This window comes from Homo sapiens, chromosome 2, assembly GCF_000001405.40.
Source record: "Homo sapiens chromosome 2, GRCh38.p14 Primary Assembly".
In the NCBI taxonomy this organism is placed as follows: domain Eukaryota; kingdom Metazoa; phylum Chordata; class Mammalia; order Primates; family Hominidae; genus Homo; species Homo sapiens.
In genome coordinates, this window is record NC_000002.12 from 120814215 (window position 1) to 120829882 (window position 15668).

The window sequence follows — 15668 nt, forward strand, 5'->3', positions numbered from 1 at the left end:
TTGGAAAGGATGTGTGCACCAAAGGGGTAAGGGCACCGGGATTTGAGTGGGAATCAACAGGATCTGCCCTACAGAGATGGGGGTGGTAAGTGCTGATCGCCATGATTTCTGGGGGCTTAGGAAGCCTTTTCTGTGTCTGTATGATTTTGTGGTTAAACATGAATGCTGATGGCTGAAAGGTGTGTGAGTGTGGTAAAATGGATACTTCTAGGCAGATCACCTGGCTGTTGTCAGATATCAGTGCCTCACTGGGAATGAGTTGATCAGATTTCATGCTGAGAGCAGTGTTGGGTGGGGTGGAGCAGGGGTCCCATCCTCCGGCTACAGACTGGCACCAGTCCATGCCCTGTTGTGAACCAGGCCGCATAGCGGGAGGTGAGCAGCAGGCAAGAGCATTACCACCTGAGCCGCACCTTCTGTCAGATCAGCAGCGGCATTACATTCTCACAGGAGCAAGAACCCTATTGTGAACTGTGCATTTGAGGGATCTAGGTTGCGTGCTCCTTATGAGAATCTAATGCCTGATGCACCTGAGGTGGAACAGTTTTGGGATTCCTGCCCCCGCCCGCCCCACCCCCCGCCCCCGCTGCATTGGTCCCTGGAAAAATTGTCTTCCATGAAACTGGTCCCTGGTGCCAAAAAGCTTCGGGACCATTGGGGTAGAGGGCAGGACAGAGGCTGCCTCTTGGAGGATGAGGTCAGAAATGGGCGTGATGGTCCTGGAGATCCCCTGAGTGTATCCTCAAAGACAAGGGCCAGTGTCCTGTCCTGTCCTGTCCTGTTGATGCCAGCGTCCACGGGCCTGAGACAGGGAGAGGTCGATGGTTCTCCCAGCTAAGCCTTTTAGAATGGAGGAGACCCCAGACCCTGAGCCCCAGGGATGAGCCTGATCTATAACCAGTCATTGAAAATACATACAGTGAAATGGAAGTTTCTGCCATTGAGCAGGCTCTTGCTGACCGCTGTAAAGATAAGTAACGGCAGTTTTCAGGCCACTTAAACCCTTACCTTTGGGGTATTAAGGGGTCTCTGCAGACAGTAAGTCTTTATCGGGAAGTGTTTACTCATAAAAAAACACAGTGAAGCCGGGGAGAGAAAGCACCTCAGCCTTTATGGCGCCACAACCCATCTGTAACAGGAGCTGCAAATCACCTGTGGGCTGCAGACGATTCTGCCCAAAAGTTGGGGGCGGAAGTGAGAGTAAAAGCTGACTTGCTACCATGCAGACAGCATTGCCTGCCCCGCCAGCCCCCTCCCTCCACCGATAGAGGGACTGTGCTGCCGTGTGTGTGGCTCAGCCGTCTTGCTGTGGCTCCCAAGTACCACGGGATTGAGCCTGAGCTCTGTGGTCACGTGCCCCCTGGCCCACCTCTCTAGCCTCTGTGCCTGCGCACCTCTGACGGTGCTCCCTGCTTCCAGAGTGCCTTCCCCTGCTTTTCTACCCCTGGGAGGGCTACCCAAATGCCCTCCCCATACCAGTTAGAGTCCGATCAGTGGAGTAGAATCACCGTGAGAGACTTGGAACCAGGGTGGTGATAGGATCAGCTCCTGCCCAGTCGTGGGAGCAGTGATATCTCTACAAAGCCACGGTCTCTGCCTCTGGTGCTGGGCTGAAGTCATTGTAGGTCAGTGGCATTGGCGATCTGAGGGGGTGTTAGGTGTGACGTGGGGGAGAACAAGGACAAGCTGGAACCCACCAGGATGGTTAGAGTTCACGCCTGCCTTCCTGTACTTCCAGCTTCATGATGGATAGGTGGATGCACATGGGGTTGGAGGTGGGTTGTATGACCCTCCCCCTTGGAACTATATCCACTCCTGGCTCTATGGGAGAAAGAGCTGGCTCCAACCCTCTTTGCCCCACAGATCAGTGATGATGTTTGGGGACTGAGGGAGCCTCTGGGATCCTACAGTAGCAGTTCCAAACCTTTTGGTCCACAGATCCCTGTACACTTAAAAATTACTGAGGACCCCAAAGAGCTTTTTTTTTTTTTTTTGAGACTGAGTCTCGCTGTGTCGCCCAGACTGGAGTGCAGTGCAGTGGTGCGATCTCAGTTCACTGCAACCTCCGCCTCCCGGGTTCAGGTGATTCTCCTGCCTCAGCCTCCTGAGTAGCTGGGATTACAGGTGCGTGCCATCATGCCCGGCTAATTTTTGTATTTTTGTAGAGACGGGGTTTTGCCATGTTGGCCAGGCTGGTCTCAAACTCCTGACCTCAAGTGATCGGCCCATCTAGGCCTCCCAAAGTGCTGGGATTACAGGCATAAGCCACGGCGCCCGGCCCCAAAGAGCTTTTTTAATGTGGGTTATATCTATTGATATTTACCTTGTTTGAAACTTAAAAAAATGAGAACTATTTAAAATATTTTGTCTTCAAATTCATTTGAAAATAACAATGATACAACTATTATATTTATGAAAAGAGCTTCTCCAAAATTAAAAAAAAAAGTAAGAAGAGTAGGATTACACTTCTGCAAATATCCTTAATTTCTGTCTTAATGGAAGACAGCTAAATTCTCATGTCTACTTCTGCATTGAGTCTGTTGCACTATGTTGTTTTGGTTAAAATATATGAAGGAAATCCAGTCTAATACAGATCTAGAGATAGAAAAGAGGAGGGTATTTTAAAAGCCTTTTCGCCTAATTTGGATGTTCTTTGATGCTGCACCAAAACACGACATTATGGAATCTGAAACAGATCAAAGGCCTTCCCATGCTGTTGGTTAAAATCCATGGGTCTGTCTTGCACTTTGAATGGATATTTTTTTACCCATGCGTTATTTTGTATAACCGTGCATCAGTCATTCAGAATTAGAAGCCCACATCTTCCAAATTAGAAGTCCAGATCTTCCAAAGCTACACTGGAAAATACAGAGACAATGAGCGAGGAAGACAAATGAGGTTTTAGGATTATTATGAAAATGTGACTTTGCCCATCTCTTGAGAGGACCGCTGCTCTATGCCATCCTTCCTCCTAATCCCACATAGATTTCTGCTGTGGCCAGCCCTCACCCGGAACCACACAGGGAAGTGCGTAATGTCAGCTTGGCGAAGTGGCCTCGGTATGAAGCCACCCCCACTGCCTCCGTGGGGTCTCTCCCCCAGCTCCCAGCCCCGCAGTCTGGCTGCGCTTGTGCCCTGAAGGAGCAGGCCATGCTCACTGCCCACCTGTCACCCCTTCCATCACATGCCCATCATGACAGGCCCCCTCACTTCACCCCATTGGCCCCGCTGATGAGCTCGCTGTGGACCATCGGGGGATCTCCTGCCTCCTCCTCTTACAGTCTCATCACCGCTCCGCCTCAGCCCTTTCCTTCCCTGGCTTCTAAGCTCCCCTTGTGTTCTCCTGCCTGCCCCTTTTCCCTCAGGTGAAGGTCCCAGGCTTTGTCCTGAGTGCTCTTCTCTTGTCACTGGAAACTCATCGCGGGGGCACCTGGGTAGCAAGACCCTCTCAGCTGTCTCTGCCCAGACCCCTATATCTGTCTCATCAGCTCCAACTGCTCATCCACTGGCCTGCCTGGTGCTGGATGTCCCAGGCTGTGTACACAGTGCCCCTCCCCACCCATCCCACATCACCTGGCCCCGCTCCAGACTCCTTTGCGGGCGTAGCGTCCTCACCCACTCGCTCGTATGGAGCAAACCTAAGAGACCCGGCCGGCCTGAGAACCATGTGGCAGGGCTGAGGGGATGGATCCGCACGGGACCTTCTGAGGACAGCTTCCTGAGGCCTCCATGTCCTGCCATTACACATGAGGCCCAGAAGGGTCCCCTGGTTTGCCCAGGGCCTCACATGGGATTTGATGGGATCCTGTTTCTAAACCCCGTGCTCCACTCTTGCCTGTGCTTTTCCAGGGCCCTTGGTTCAAGGGCCCTGTGGCCCTGTGCCTGCATCTGGTTGAGGTTCACAGCTGCCTGAACACTGGGGCCTTGCAGAGAGGTGGTGGGAGGAGCTGGAGAGCTCCAAGGAGCCCCGCTTTCATCCCCGAGGGGTGGCAGTGCCTCTTCCAAGCCTGCAGGGCAGGGGTGTGGAGGGTGAAGTCTAACACCAGGACAGCCAGTGGGTACATTTAGGGCTCTTGTTTGCCATCCAAGAAGAAGCCTCCAAGAAGAAAGTAGCATCTGCTTCTCTAATCAGCCCCTGGGAAGGAGTGTGGACGTGCCAGTGGCCTGAGACAGAGATAAATGGTGTGCACCGACCCTTTGAACTGGCTGGGCCTAGTCTGGGTGCATTTAGTGCAGACAAAGCCAAGAGCCAGGAAGGACTGAACCACACAAGGCCGAGCTGGGCCAGGCACTGGCATTGGCTAAGTCCTTACCGAGTAGGTGCTGGGCACTACTGGAAGGAAGCAAGAGTGCGTCTCTCCCTGCCCCTCCTCCCCAAACCCCACTCCCAACACGAATCACTCCTGAGTCTTGATAATATTCCGAGTGAGTCTGGGCCCCAGGCGTGTCTCTCCAGGGACTCTCCAGTCCCCCAGTGTCTCCGCCCAGGCCCTGTGCCCTGCCAAATCCCAAGGCTCCTTCAAGGCCAAATTCAGTAGTCAATTCTGTTTCATTCAAAAGGCATTTAGATGTTTACGAAAGGCCTACTGGTTAGCATGTTACCAGGGCCACCCGGCTAGTAAGTGGTTTGAGCCAGGATTTGAACTTGAATCCTTCTGAGCCTCCCCCACCTTATGCTGATAACCTGCTTATCTGAAGCAGCCGCAGCCCCCCGCCCTCTTTTACTGATACCCACTTCTAGGTTACGTGCTGGGAAACATATCATTTTGTTAGAATAGTTTCTAAGCCAAGAATCCAGACGCACTGAATAAGGGCCTAGGGGGCTTTTATCATACACTCTTAGTGCAAAGCCTCTGAGATGTAGGTTTAGGGGCTCAGGGGCTTCTTGGCTCTTGTTGGGTTCCTGGCTGCAGCTGGTAGAGTTGCCTTTTAGGAGTGAGTGACCTCCAGATGGGTGAGGTTTGTGTTGCACTTTAAAAGTACTGATAGTAGATATTCAGAGTGACAGAGTGCCACTAATAGAGATTTTTTTTTTTTTTTTTTTTGAGATGGAGTCACTCTGTTGTCCAAGCTGGAGTGCAATGGTGTGATCTTGGCTCACTGCAACCTCCGCCTCCCAGGTTCAGGCAATTTTCCTGCCTCAGCCTCCCAAGTAGCTGAGATTACAGGCGTCTGCCACCATGCCTGGCTATTTTTAATATTTTTAGTAGAGACGGGGTTTTGCCATGTTGACCAGGCTGGTCTCGAACTCCTGACCTCAGGTGATCTGCCCGCCTCAGCCTCCTAAAGTGCTGGGATTGCAGGCGTGAGTCACTGCACCCCACCGGTTTTTGTATTTTCTATCCACCCTCGTTTTTAATCTTCCTTTGCCATTCCTCCTTTAGCAGCTGAAAGCCAATGGCAGGCACAGAGAATTCTATAACCTGAGCCTTGTTCTCAAGAACCAGAAATCTGAAGGACTTTGCCACAGGCAGTTTATTCATCTGCTTGCAGGCATTTACCAGTTACTGTGCCAGTCCGTTATGCTGGGGCAAATACCCCACTGGCCAAGCCCCCAGGGAGCTCACCAGCTAAGAAGAAGGACTGATCAGTGCAAGGACAGCATCTTAGTGTGGTAACGACTCCAAGAGAAGTCATTTCCAGATACTTCATCCTGCTGCTGGGGGAAGAGAGGCAGGGAAGACTTCTTGGAGGAGGCCAGACCCAGCCTGAGCTGGGTCTTGAGGGATGAATACGGGTTCACTAGGCAGAAAAGTGGGGCCCAGAGAACAGAATACGAGCACAGGCAGCAGGATGGCCAGCCGCCAAGGCCATGGGAACCTGGGGAAGGTTGGCTGCTTTGCTGGAGGAAACCTCCAGCAGCATCTACTGAGGCATCCACCCTTAGAAAGACTGAGGCTGATGAAGGCAAGTGAAGGAAAGGTCCAGGCTGGTCCCTTTTGCCCTCTGTCTGGTTTTCTCTGAGCTAAGATAGTTCTCTCTGGCTCCCTTAAAATCAGGACAGTGGAGCGAAGGTGGGTTTGGGGGCCAATTTCTCCTCCTCTCAGCCATCCCAGGCTTTGCTTTCTTGCCGAGTCTAAACTCTCAGCTGTCGCCCTCGTATTTGCTCAGGGGCCCCTGTTAGGGGGACTGTGCACTTTCATCCAGCTGGACGCCGGAGTTCCCTGGAAGCCGAGAGGGTTAAATCACCAAGCCAGCTGGTGAGCATTAGTTCCCCCCTCTCCAGGCAGTAACGTCAGAGGCTGATGCTGGCGGCAAAGAAGCTGGTGGCAGGAGGAGGCGGAGAGCTGCCTTGAGGCACTCCGGGGGTGGGCTCCTGGCCTGGGACCCTGCCCCAGCAACCCCCAGGTAGGCTGGCTGTGGATGTGTGGGCTCCGGACACCCTGCGGGGACGGCTGCTGTCCACGCCAGTGTGTGGACGTGTGTGCACACCCTGTGTGTCTGTGTTTCTTCTCTTTGTGAGAGTTAGCCTTCTGCTGTGGCAAAAACTTCAGTGGAGAAGGAAAGAGTGAGCGCTGGAGAGGGTAGCTTTTTTTCTAGTGGGAAGGGGACTGACTTCTTTAAACAAACACTCAAGTGTTCCAGTGGCCACGGAGCAGGCAGATGTGGGCCACACTGCATCTTCCAGGGTTTCTCTATGCCACTTGGGGTGCAGTCTTGAGTGGCCAGAGGAGCAGTTTGCTGAGGTGGCTTAAGAACATGTTTTCTCATCTGTCTGTGACCAGGAGGCGTTTCGAAGGGCTTGCCATGTGCCGACTCAGTAACTAGTGTGTGGCCTCCCGGTGGTTTCAGATGCCTTGCCAAGGCCGACCCACCCACCTCCTCGAGGAAATGCAAAAAGTGTTTTCAGGGCCCAGAACACTAAGCCTGGGATGATCTGCTCCTCCCTGACTGGCAGCCTGTCTTGCGTGGGCGGCTGAGCTCGCAGCCACCAGGACCTGATGGGGACAGTGTTTCCTGGGGCCTCTGTACGGGGGAGGTTCTCTCGAGTTGCAAAGGTGCAGATGCGCCAGGAGGGTTCTTGGCCCCTAGGCTTCATGGATAGAGTTTACTAGGACAAGCAAAGGCCTGGTGTGCGATCTGTTTTCCTATTTGACTGGATGTTGGGAGAAAAATGTCCAAATTAGGGATGGGCCCATGGCTCAGCTGAGCAGAACACTGGGTGAACTTCTACTGTGAAAGAAATAGCAGATCCGGCGGACATTTATGGGCGACAGAGAAGGGTAGCTCAGCATTGAGGAGGGAGTTTGGTCTCATTCTGGCCGAGACTGTCAAATCCTCGGATGGGCTTGTAAACCAGCTCCTGGCCTAGCCTCATCAAACGTGAGGATGAGGAAGAGAGAGCCTGGTGGGCCCTGGGGAGGGGACCTGCACTCTCAGTGGGACACCTGGTGACCAGTAAGCCTGGTCCACTGCCCTTCCTCACCCTCTCGTCTTTCTAATAAACAGAGGGGAGGTGCCTGTGCATAGACTTGGGGACTATTACATTGACTCAGAAAGACCCTCTTTTCCCTTTTGCCCCAACCAGTGCTTTACGAGGTTGCCTAAGCCTGTGCTGCGACCCCCAGAGGCAGGTGCAACCCCATTTTACAGATGGGGATGCTGAGGCTCTTCACCAGGGCCGCCCAGCTGGATGGCAGTGGGGTGGGTCACACCGAGCCTCCTTTCCCCTGGGCTGGGCTGCCACCCGAGGCCCCCACTATGTGTTCCTGTTTGCCTTTGACTCCACGGGGGCCGGGAGAAAGTGGCACTGGGGATGCCACCAGGCTGCTTGTCAACTGGCCTTTGCTGTGTTCCACACCTCTGACATGGAGGTGAGGCTGTGGTGGCTAAGACCGGGCGGTGGGCCGAGTTCATGTTCCTGCTATGCCAGTGATAGCTGGACGAGACCTAGAGCAAGGCTGTGAACTCTTGTGGCCTTGGAGTTCTTGTCTGTGCAGCATCCTTTCGGGTGCAAGGATTGTTACAAGGGTTGAGTGAGCTGTTATCAGCGAAGCACTGAACAGTGTCTGGAAGGTGATAAACTCAACAAAGTGTCTCTGGAGTTAGAGCAGCCTTCTTGTGGTCCCTGGACCCAGCAGTGTGCTATGGGCATAGTGCCCTGCACAGCGGGTCCAGCTCAAGGGACAGGGACAAAATGACCTTTTCAGAAGCGTGTTAGGAAACAGCCCGATGGGCCCTAAGGCTCCAGAACCTTTGTGTTCCCTGAATCCTGACCCTCACAGGGTCCTTGCATGAACTTGACACAATTAATACCAAGAGAGATGGTGCTGTCCCCATTCCACCCCTTTGCATGTGGCTGAAGGTCACAAGGATAGCAAATGGAAATGCCTCCGCAAATCACCTGTTTACTATTTTTCTGATTATTAAAGTGATTGAAAATGTGATGACTGTGGAAAAGCCCAATGAACATATCATTATGTTCTTCCCTGATTCCACCTCCCAAGGATGACCCTCACTCACATGTTAGTATGTTTCTTTCCAGTTCTTTCTTTCCATGCCATACTTCCCTTCCAATGGAAGGTTCAATTAAGGACGTTAAAATACAACAACAAAACACACAAAAGTAACTCCCTGGGCTTTTGAAATTCAAAGCTTCAGAGGAAATGGTACGAATGCAACCCAAATGGCAAATTTCCCATCTGATTTTATTTTCAGTACACTCTGAACCCATCTTCTGCCCCTTACCCTAGCTCTTCCTCAGGCAACCTTGAGTTTCCTTCTCTAAGGGGAATCTTGCAGGAGTGGTCTAGGACTGGGAGGCTGAGGGGGCATTGGAGGAGACACCTGGACAGGTGTGCACAGAGGTGGATGTGAGAGGTGGATGAAGGACATCCCAACAGGGAACCTGCTCCCACCCCCTGCACCCCCCGCCACCCGGCTGTGTGTTTCCCAGGCGAGGCTGTGTTTGACATGCAGCGGCCGCACACCGTCTTTGGTATGCCGTTTGGTCCCGGACTTAATGAGTTCTGCAGGGACGCTCCACTGTAGCTAAAGATCATTTACCTGAATTGCTTTTTAATTTCTGCCGTGGGAAGCTGCCCCCGGTGTGATATAATTACATTATAATTTACAGCAATCCCAAATCTATAAATTTAGCCATACAGTGGGGGGAAGGGACTGGAGTTGTGTGTGGGGCTGGGGGAGAAATCCCCCCCATCATTAAGTAAACCCACATTTCTGGGTGCAGGTTCCAGTCCCTGGGCAGGTGTGGAGGAGGCAGAGAGGGACATCACTCGCCCAGTACACGCTGAAGTGTGCTTTAACACCACAGAGCATTCGGGCTGGAGCTGCTAGTGGGAGAGGATGAGAGAGTGATGTGACATTCTTTCTGATCTGCCCTCTTATAGCATTTTTGCTGTGGGATGTGGGGAGCACACAGAAGTGGGTAGCCTGGGGACATCTATGGAATGCCTAGCATTGGAAGGCAGGGATCGGAATCCTTCCCTGATTCTCTTATGGGAAGATCTCCCGGCTGTGGGCTGTGGAGAGGAGAGCTGGGCCTCAGGGTGGAGTCCCGGGGATGTCTCTGGGCAGATGGAGCCACTCCCTGGGAGCTTGTGGCATGTGCGGAAGTGAAGCCGTGTGGGATTCCGATAGGCCTAGGCGAAGGCGCAGTACCATGCAGGCCAAGGGAGGGGTTTCCTTTCTGCACCCACAAAAGGGTTCACATTCCTGGTGGCCCTGCCATTCCACGTCACTGTGTAATTTGCCGTATTCCTGTAAAACCATGCATGGACCAAAATTATTCATATTTTATGGGCATAAAGGCAGTTCATTAATTAATGGAATTCTATGGTGAATTAACTTTATTTAACAAAGAAAGAACCAGGTTTTTCTGATTCGTCTGCTCTGGAGATCTAAACGTTCATATCTTGGGGGGATTCCGTTGGGATGACTTTGTAGCAGTGGGAGGCAGTATAGCAGCTAAAGCACCAGTGGAACCCAGGTTCGGAGAAGCTAAGTCACTTACCCCACATCACGTAGCTGGTGGAGGAGAAAAAGACCCTGTGAAGGCTGTTGGATGGGGAAGGTAAGTAGGGGGATAGAGAGGGAGGAAGAGGGAGGCAGCAACAAATTTACTCGCTGTGTTGACCTTGACTGTTACGAGTTTGCCCCTTGGCCAGGGGGACTGTGTGGAGTGGTGCTCTGGCAGCAGCCTTCCCCCTTACAGGGGTGTGGGCCCCCACCCTGATACAGGTGATTGTCCCTCGCCACCCCGGGAAGCTGCTGATCCTCAGGCCCACCCTCTGAGCTTTGGCTCTTACGTTCACGAGCGCTGGGGCTCAGAGATGGCAGAATGGCGGCTCCAGAGTGTCCCTCCAGGTGCTTGTCATTAGCCACTGCCCCCTGCTCCATCTCTGGCTGTAAGCCCCTTTGGGCCCCCTTTGGGTCTACACCAGCACCTGTCAAACTGACTCTGAGGAGGTCAGAGAGGGCAAGTCATTTACCCCAAATGACACAGCTGGTCTTTGAGGATGTAAGCCTGTCCTGAGGGCCTTGCTTTGAGATAAGGTGTCCCACAGCCTGATGTTCCAACCAAGTGGGACATGAGGACCTGAACTCCCTTGTCAGTGACACACCTGACAAAGGATGTCCCCATGGCATTTCTTTGTTGTTGTTGTTGTTGTTTTGTCTTGAGACAGGTTATCGCTCAGTTGCTCAGGCTGGAGTGCGGTGACACAATCGTGGCCCACTGTAGCCTCGACCACCCGGGCTCAAGCAATCCTCCCACCTCACCCTCCCAAGTAGCTGGGACTACAGGTGCCTGCCATCACACCTGGCTTATTTTTGTATTTTTTATAGAGACAGGGTTTCAACTTGTTGCCCAGGCTGGTCTCGAACTCCTGACCTCAAGTGGTCCCCTTCCCAAAGTGCTGGGATTACAGGTGTGAGCCATTGTGCCTGGCCCCCATGATATTTCTTATAGCCATTGGTACTGCCATGATTTGGGAGTTTTGGGAGAATTGAAGCAAGTACTTAGAATCTGAAAGAATGCATTTCCTGTTTAAGGAGCCCATTTATCACTCAGGTTTTACAAATACATGATAAAGCCCAAGGAAGGCCTGGCCCTGTCCACCTGTGCAGCCACTCACTGCCCTCACATTAAAACAACCTCACCTGGCTGTGAGTGTGTGCTTGGCTGTGAGGAGTGTGCAACTGGCTGTGAATGCGCCTGGCTGTGAGTGTGTGCTGGACTGTGTGCGCCTAGCTGTGAGTGCACCTGGCTATAAGGAGTGTGCTCCTGGCTGTGAGTGTGCATCTGGCTGTGAGTGTGACCTGGCTGTGGGTGTGCACCTGACTGTGAGTGTGTGCCTAGCTGTAAGGAGTGTGCTCCTGGCTGTGAGTGTGCTCCTGGCTGTGGGTGTGCACCTGGCTGTGAGTGTGTGCTGGACTGTAAGCATGCACCTGACTGTGAGCGTGCACCGGACTGTGAGTGTGCACCTGGCTGTAAGCTCCTTCTGCCCAGATGCCTGTCCTTTGCCTGCTCCTTCCAGGAAAGCTGCCTTGATGACAGCCCTCCCTCCATGTCCCCCTCCTGGTGCTTCCTGCAGACATCAGATCCCTGTGGGTGTCTTCTGACAAGTCTTACCCCTGCCCCTAGGGCTAAGCCCCAAGGCCAGGAGATGTTTGGATAATCTGGCCAGGGATCACAGGAGCGCTCCTTCCTGTGGCTGCTGGTTCGCAGATGGCCTTGCACAAGCCTTGGCTGCTCAGAGCTTTGCACTCCAGCTGTGGCCCAGCAGTGTCCCAGGGAGGGATAGGATGCTGGGTGAGAACACCACAGGCCCTTACTGCTGGGCACGATGGGAGGCTGCCTGGTGACGGCCGCCTTTGTTATGACAGAGCAGAGCGTTGGGCCGTGGCCAGGCTCTGTCCAGAGACAGCTGCGAGGCTTCCAACCCGGCTGGGTGGGGTGGGAGGGAGCTGTGGCTGGCATGCATCTGCATGCACCCAACTTAGCAAGTTCAGCATGGAGGAGAGAGGGAGAGAGGGGAGAAGCTGAGACAGAGAGGGGCTGAGTGCATGCAGCTGAAGCAGTGCCCTCGTCCCAGTCTGAATGTGCCAGAGCCAGGTTGGGCGTGAGGGTCTGCCGTCCTGTTTACATTTACTCGTGCCTCCTGTACTGCAGGCTCCAGAGCTGGAGTTTTTATTCAGCTTCTGATGTTTATATACACAGTTTTCATGCACAGGCCCAGAACCCAGCCAGCCCCCTCCCTCTGCTGCTGTTCGATCTGGGAGGCAGTGTGCGTCTCCACACAGAGGAGACCGCTGGACTGCACTCTGGAGGAAGTGGGGTCCCCTCCGTGTGGGACCTTGCTTGAGGTGGGCAGAGGTGCTTTGGAGTGGTGGAGATTTTTATCTCATGTATGGTCTTTCGTGTCTAATCTTGGCAAAAGATGGGATTCCCTGCATTGCCGTTTTACAGATTAGGGACCTGAGTTTCAGAGAGCATGTACTCTGCGTCACACAGGTTGGGGAAGTGGCTTTGAACCCAGGCCCATGGGATTCCAATGCCTATGGCCTCTTGACCCCAGGCCTTTCGGGAATGATTTGAGAAGCAGGCAGTTCAGTCCCTCTGTACCTGCGGTCCCCAGTGACAGCTCAGAGCCCGTTTCAGATCCGCCTGGGCAACCTGCCCGGCTCCCGCTTCCTCTGTCTCCCCTTCAAATGCTGGCACATTCTCCATAGTGACTTCCCAGCCTGCCACATCTCCCCACACCCCAGCCACGCATAACCACTGGCGGCTCCCGGGACAAGTGGGGCTCCCACCATTTCGCTTTCACTGTGTGGTGACTCCCATGGGTCCATGAGGGACTGCTGTGTCCCCAGCTCCTAGAACAGGGCCTGGCACTGCCCATGCCAGTGGTTTGTTGACTAAATCCGTGACCGGATGAGTGCTTCAGGGACCTCTAGGCTTCCCTCAGAGCCAGCCCAGAAACACAAACATATGACTATGTTGCCCAGACCCGTGGCTGTCTTCTTTCAGGACAGCGGAGTTGGCACAGCCAAACCCGAGTGTCTGCTGATATGCTTCTTGCTAAGTGGTGAGCCCGGCGTCTCTAAGTAGTGCCTCTGCCTGTGAGCGGGTGATGAAGAGTCAGTGGGGATTCATACCCATACTGTGTGAATAGGATGGCTACTATTAAGAAAAACACTCAGAAAACAGAACAGGTGCTGGTGAGGATGTGGAGAAGTTGGCCTCCTTGTGCACTGCTGGTGGGAATGTGAAATAGTGCAGCCACTTTGGAAGACAGTATGGGAGTTCCTTGGAAAATGAAACAGAATTACCTTACAATCCAGCAATTCTCCTTTTGGATTTAGACTCAGAAAAGTTGAAAGTAGGGTCCTGAAGAGATATTTGCACACCCATGTTCATAGCAGCCTTATTCACAATAGCCAAAAAGTGGAAGCTACCCAAGGGTCCATTGATGGATGAATGAATAAACAAAATGTGGTGCGTGATACAGAGGGCTGTTATGCAGCCTTAAAAAGGAAGGACATTCGGACACAGCACAGATGAACCTTGAGAACGTTATGCTAAGTGAAATAAGTCAGTCACAAAAGGACATATACTGTTTTATTCCACTTATACGCGGTCCCTAGAGTCGTCAGAATCGTAGAGACAGAAAGCAGAGTTGTGATTGCCAGGGGCCGGAGGGAGGAAGGAGTGAGGAGTTCATGTTGAATGGGTGCAGAATTTCAATTTGGGAAGATGAAAAAGCTCTGGAGATGGATGGTCGTGATGGTTGCGGAACAACGTGAATGTACTCAATGCCTCTGAATTGTACACTTAAAAGGCATGGAAATGGTACATTTTATGTTTTGTATATTTTCCTGCAAGTTTAGAAAATGAAATTATTGAAGAGAGCCTGAGGAGCAGGTCTAAACACCCATGGACTTCTAAAGCTTCCGTGAACCTTGGGTCCTCCTGGTTCCTCCACCATCGATGACCAGTGTGTCACCCCCTGGTTCAGTGCCCTCTTTATGCATGAGAGCAGCTTGCTGGGCCAAGGCCCCCGGGCCAGGTGGCTTCTCTGAGGAAACGTTCGTTAGTTCTCCCCGCTCTCTCACCAGAGAAAGCACCTGTGAGGCCAGCCTCTTGTCTGAGCCCCTGCCCGGAGACTCCGAGGACATTCGAGCTCTCAACCCCAGACAGACGCTGAGGGTGGAACCTGTGGAAAATATGTTGGTTTTAGAAATTTAAACCTGATTTTTTTCTCCTCTGTGAAAAGAATCAAAATCCAGCATAAGCTTATTACAGGCGGACTGAGGTTATTTTGGGAAGTAGCAATTAAAGGTTTTATATTTTTCCTCTCCCTTTTGCCCTTGCAGCTTGCACAGGTCTGTGAAGCTATTAAACCTTCACCCAACCCACAGCCCGGAGGAATCTGCCCTGCCCCGTTTCTCCTCCAGTTCAGTGCCTTGGGAAAGAAAAGAAAGTTAAATTCGTATTAATTACAGCCAAATCCGCTCAGTAAGCACTTGCTGAATATGCTTGAGGATGAGGTTTAAAGCTCTCCTCCAAACAAAACGGTAAAATGAAAGGAATAATTTATTTGGTCAGACACTATAATTTGCCACGTCATTCCATTTCTCTTGTTACTAAAATGGATTCTCTGCTGAGGCCGTGACTTCCAACTCCAAAAAAAAAAAAAAAAGATCATCCACAGCCACTATTCCTCACAATTTCTCTGAAAGGTCCTCCTTGCCCCACCACGCTGAAGCTAGGCCCAGGGCTCTTGGAAGAAACACACAGCACTTGCTCCTGCACACTGACACACTCTGTCACCCAAAATGACATGCTGTCACTCATACTCACACACCACATGCTCACAGTCACACACGTACGCATGCATGCACACAGGGACAGCCACGCACCTGCACCCATGCACGCACTCACTGTCACACACACCATCACCACGTGCACACCCAGCACCCACACGCACCCTTCATACACTTATACACACATGCACACATTCGCATGCACACGCCTGCACTCACACAGTCACAGATACACAGGGACACAGAGCCCCAGGGGCAGTATGCCTCAGAGCATGTTAGTACTTCCATAAACGATCTCTTTCCACATCATTTACAGAGTGGGCGCATTGTGAGTGTCTTAAGTTTCTGACCAGGGTTAATGTCTTTCTGAGGCTGACTTAGCTCAAAGGCAGTGTCATGATTAAGATCTCAGGCCCAGGAGTTGGACAGTGCTAGGGCTGAGCCCCAGCCCAGCCACTTAACAGCTGTGTGACATTCGTCAAGTAGAAGGAGTTCCCCCAGCCTTAGCTTCCCATCTCTAGGTGGTGATAATGAAGAGTTGACCTCATAGGGTACATCTGAGGAATAAACCAAGGCTGGGCCTAACAGCTGTTTCCCAGGAGGTTCTCATCTGAGTTGGCTGATATCGTCATTATTATCACCAATCCGTAATGCTGGTGTCCCATCCGTTCTCCAAGTGCTGACTTGGCTGTAGCTGTGGGCCCGGGCCTGGGAGAAGGGGACTGTGTCCACCAGGGTGGCTGCAGGAGGGCCTATGTGGGCCTTGAGATCCTGCTTCCTGGCCAGGACCCATTCCTTCATGGGGCACCTTCCCCAGTTCTCAGGGCTGGGGGCACTCAGAGGGAAGTGCAGGGCTGAGTTCATGTAAGTTCTGCAAGCAA

At 52.5% G+C, this 15668-nt stretch overlaps 1 protein-coding gene across 6 annotated transcripts in view, besides 5 other annotated features; it reads left to right on the forward strand.

Moving 5' to 3' along the window:
* Positions 1 to 15668, forward strand: part of GLI2 (GLI family zinc finger 2) — a 256786-nt gene that overhangs the window by 78347 nt on the left and 162771 nt on the right. Inside the window, exon 1 of one of the 6 annotated variants that reach the window (XM_011510971.3) lies at positions 6235 to 6348. The exons of the other annotated variants lie outside the window; for them this stretch is intronic. The gene's annotated coding sequence lies outside the window, so the exon portion shown is untranslated. Of the gene's footprint in view, positions 1 to 6234; positions 6349 to 15668 lie in introns of those variants that run through there. 6 annotated transcript variants of the gene reach the window in all.
* Positions 7590 to 8255: an enhancer, noted in NCBI's record as "H3K4me1 hESC enhancer chr2:121579379-121580044 (GRCh37/hg19 assembly coordinates)". NCBI's record gives its function as "activates a minimal SCP1, AML or CMV promoter by ChIP-STARR-seq in primed H9 embryonic stem cells {active_cell/tissue: H9 hESC(primed)}" and the evidence as "EXISTENCE:reporter gene assay evidence [ECO:0000049][PMID:30033119]".
* Positions 9092 to 9899: an enhancer, noted in NCBI's record as "H3K4me1 hESC enhancer chr2:121580881-121581688 (GRCh37/hg19 assembly coordinates)". NCBI's record gives its function as "activates a minimal SCP1, AML or CMV promoter by ChIP-STARR-seq in naive H9 embryonic stem cells {active_cell/tissue: H9 hESC(naive)}" and the evidence as "EXISTENCE:reporter gene assay evidence [ECO:0000049][PMID:30033119]".
* Positions 9388 to 9599: a silencer, noted in NCBI's record as "fragment chr2:121581177-121581388 (GRCh37/hg19 assembly coordinates)". NCBI's record gives its function as "represses an EF-1alpha promoter that drives an FKBP-Casp9 reporter gene in an ReSE screen in HepG2 liver carcinoma cells {active_cell/tissue: HepG2}" and the evidence as "EXISTENCE:reporter gene assay evidence [ECO:0000049][PMID:32094911]".
* Positions 9900 to 10707: an enhancer, noted in NCBI's record as "H3K4me1 hESC enhancer chr2:121581689-121582496 (GRCh37/hg19 assembly coordinates)". NCBI's record gives its function as "activates a minimal SCP1, AML or CMV promoter by ChIP-STARR-seq in naive H9 embryonic stem cells {active_cell/tissue: H9 hESC(naive)}" and the evidence as "EXISTENCE:reporter gene assay evidence [ECO:0000049][PMID:30033119]".
* Positions 10708 to 11515: an enhancer, noted in NCBI's record as "H3K27ac-H3K4me1 hESC enhancer chr2:121582497-121583304 (GRCh37/hg19 assembly coordinates)". NCBI's record gives its function as "activates a minimal SCP1, AML or CMV promoter by ChIP-STARR-seq in naive H9 embryonic stem cells {active_cell/tissue: H9 hESC(naive)}" and the evidence as "EXISTENCE:reporter gene assay evidence [ECO:0000049][PMID:30033119]".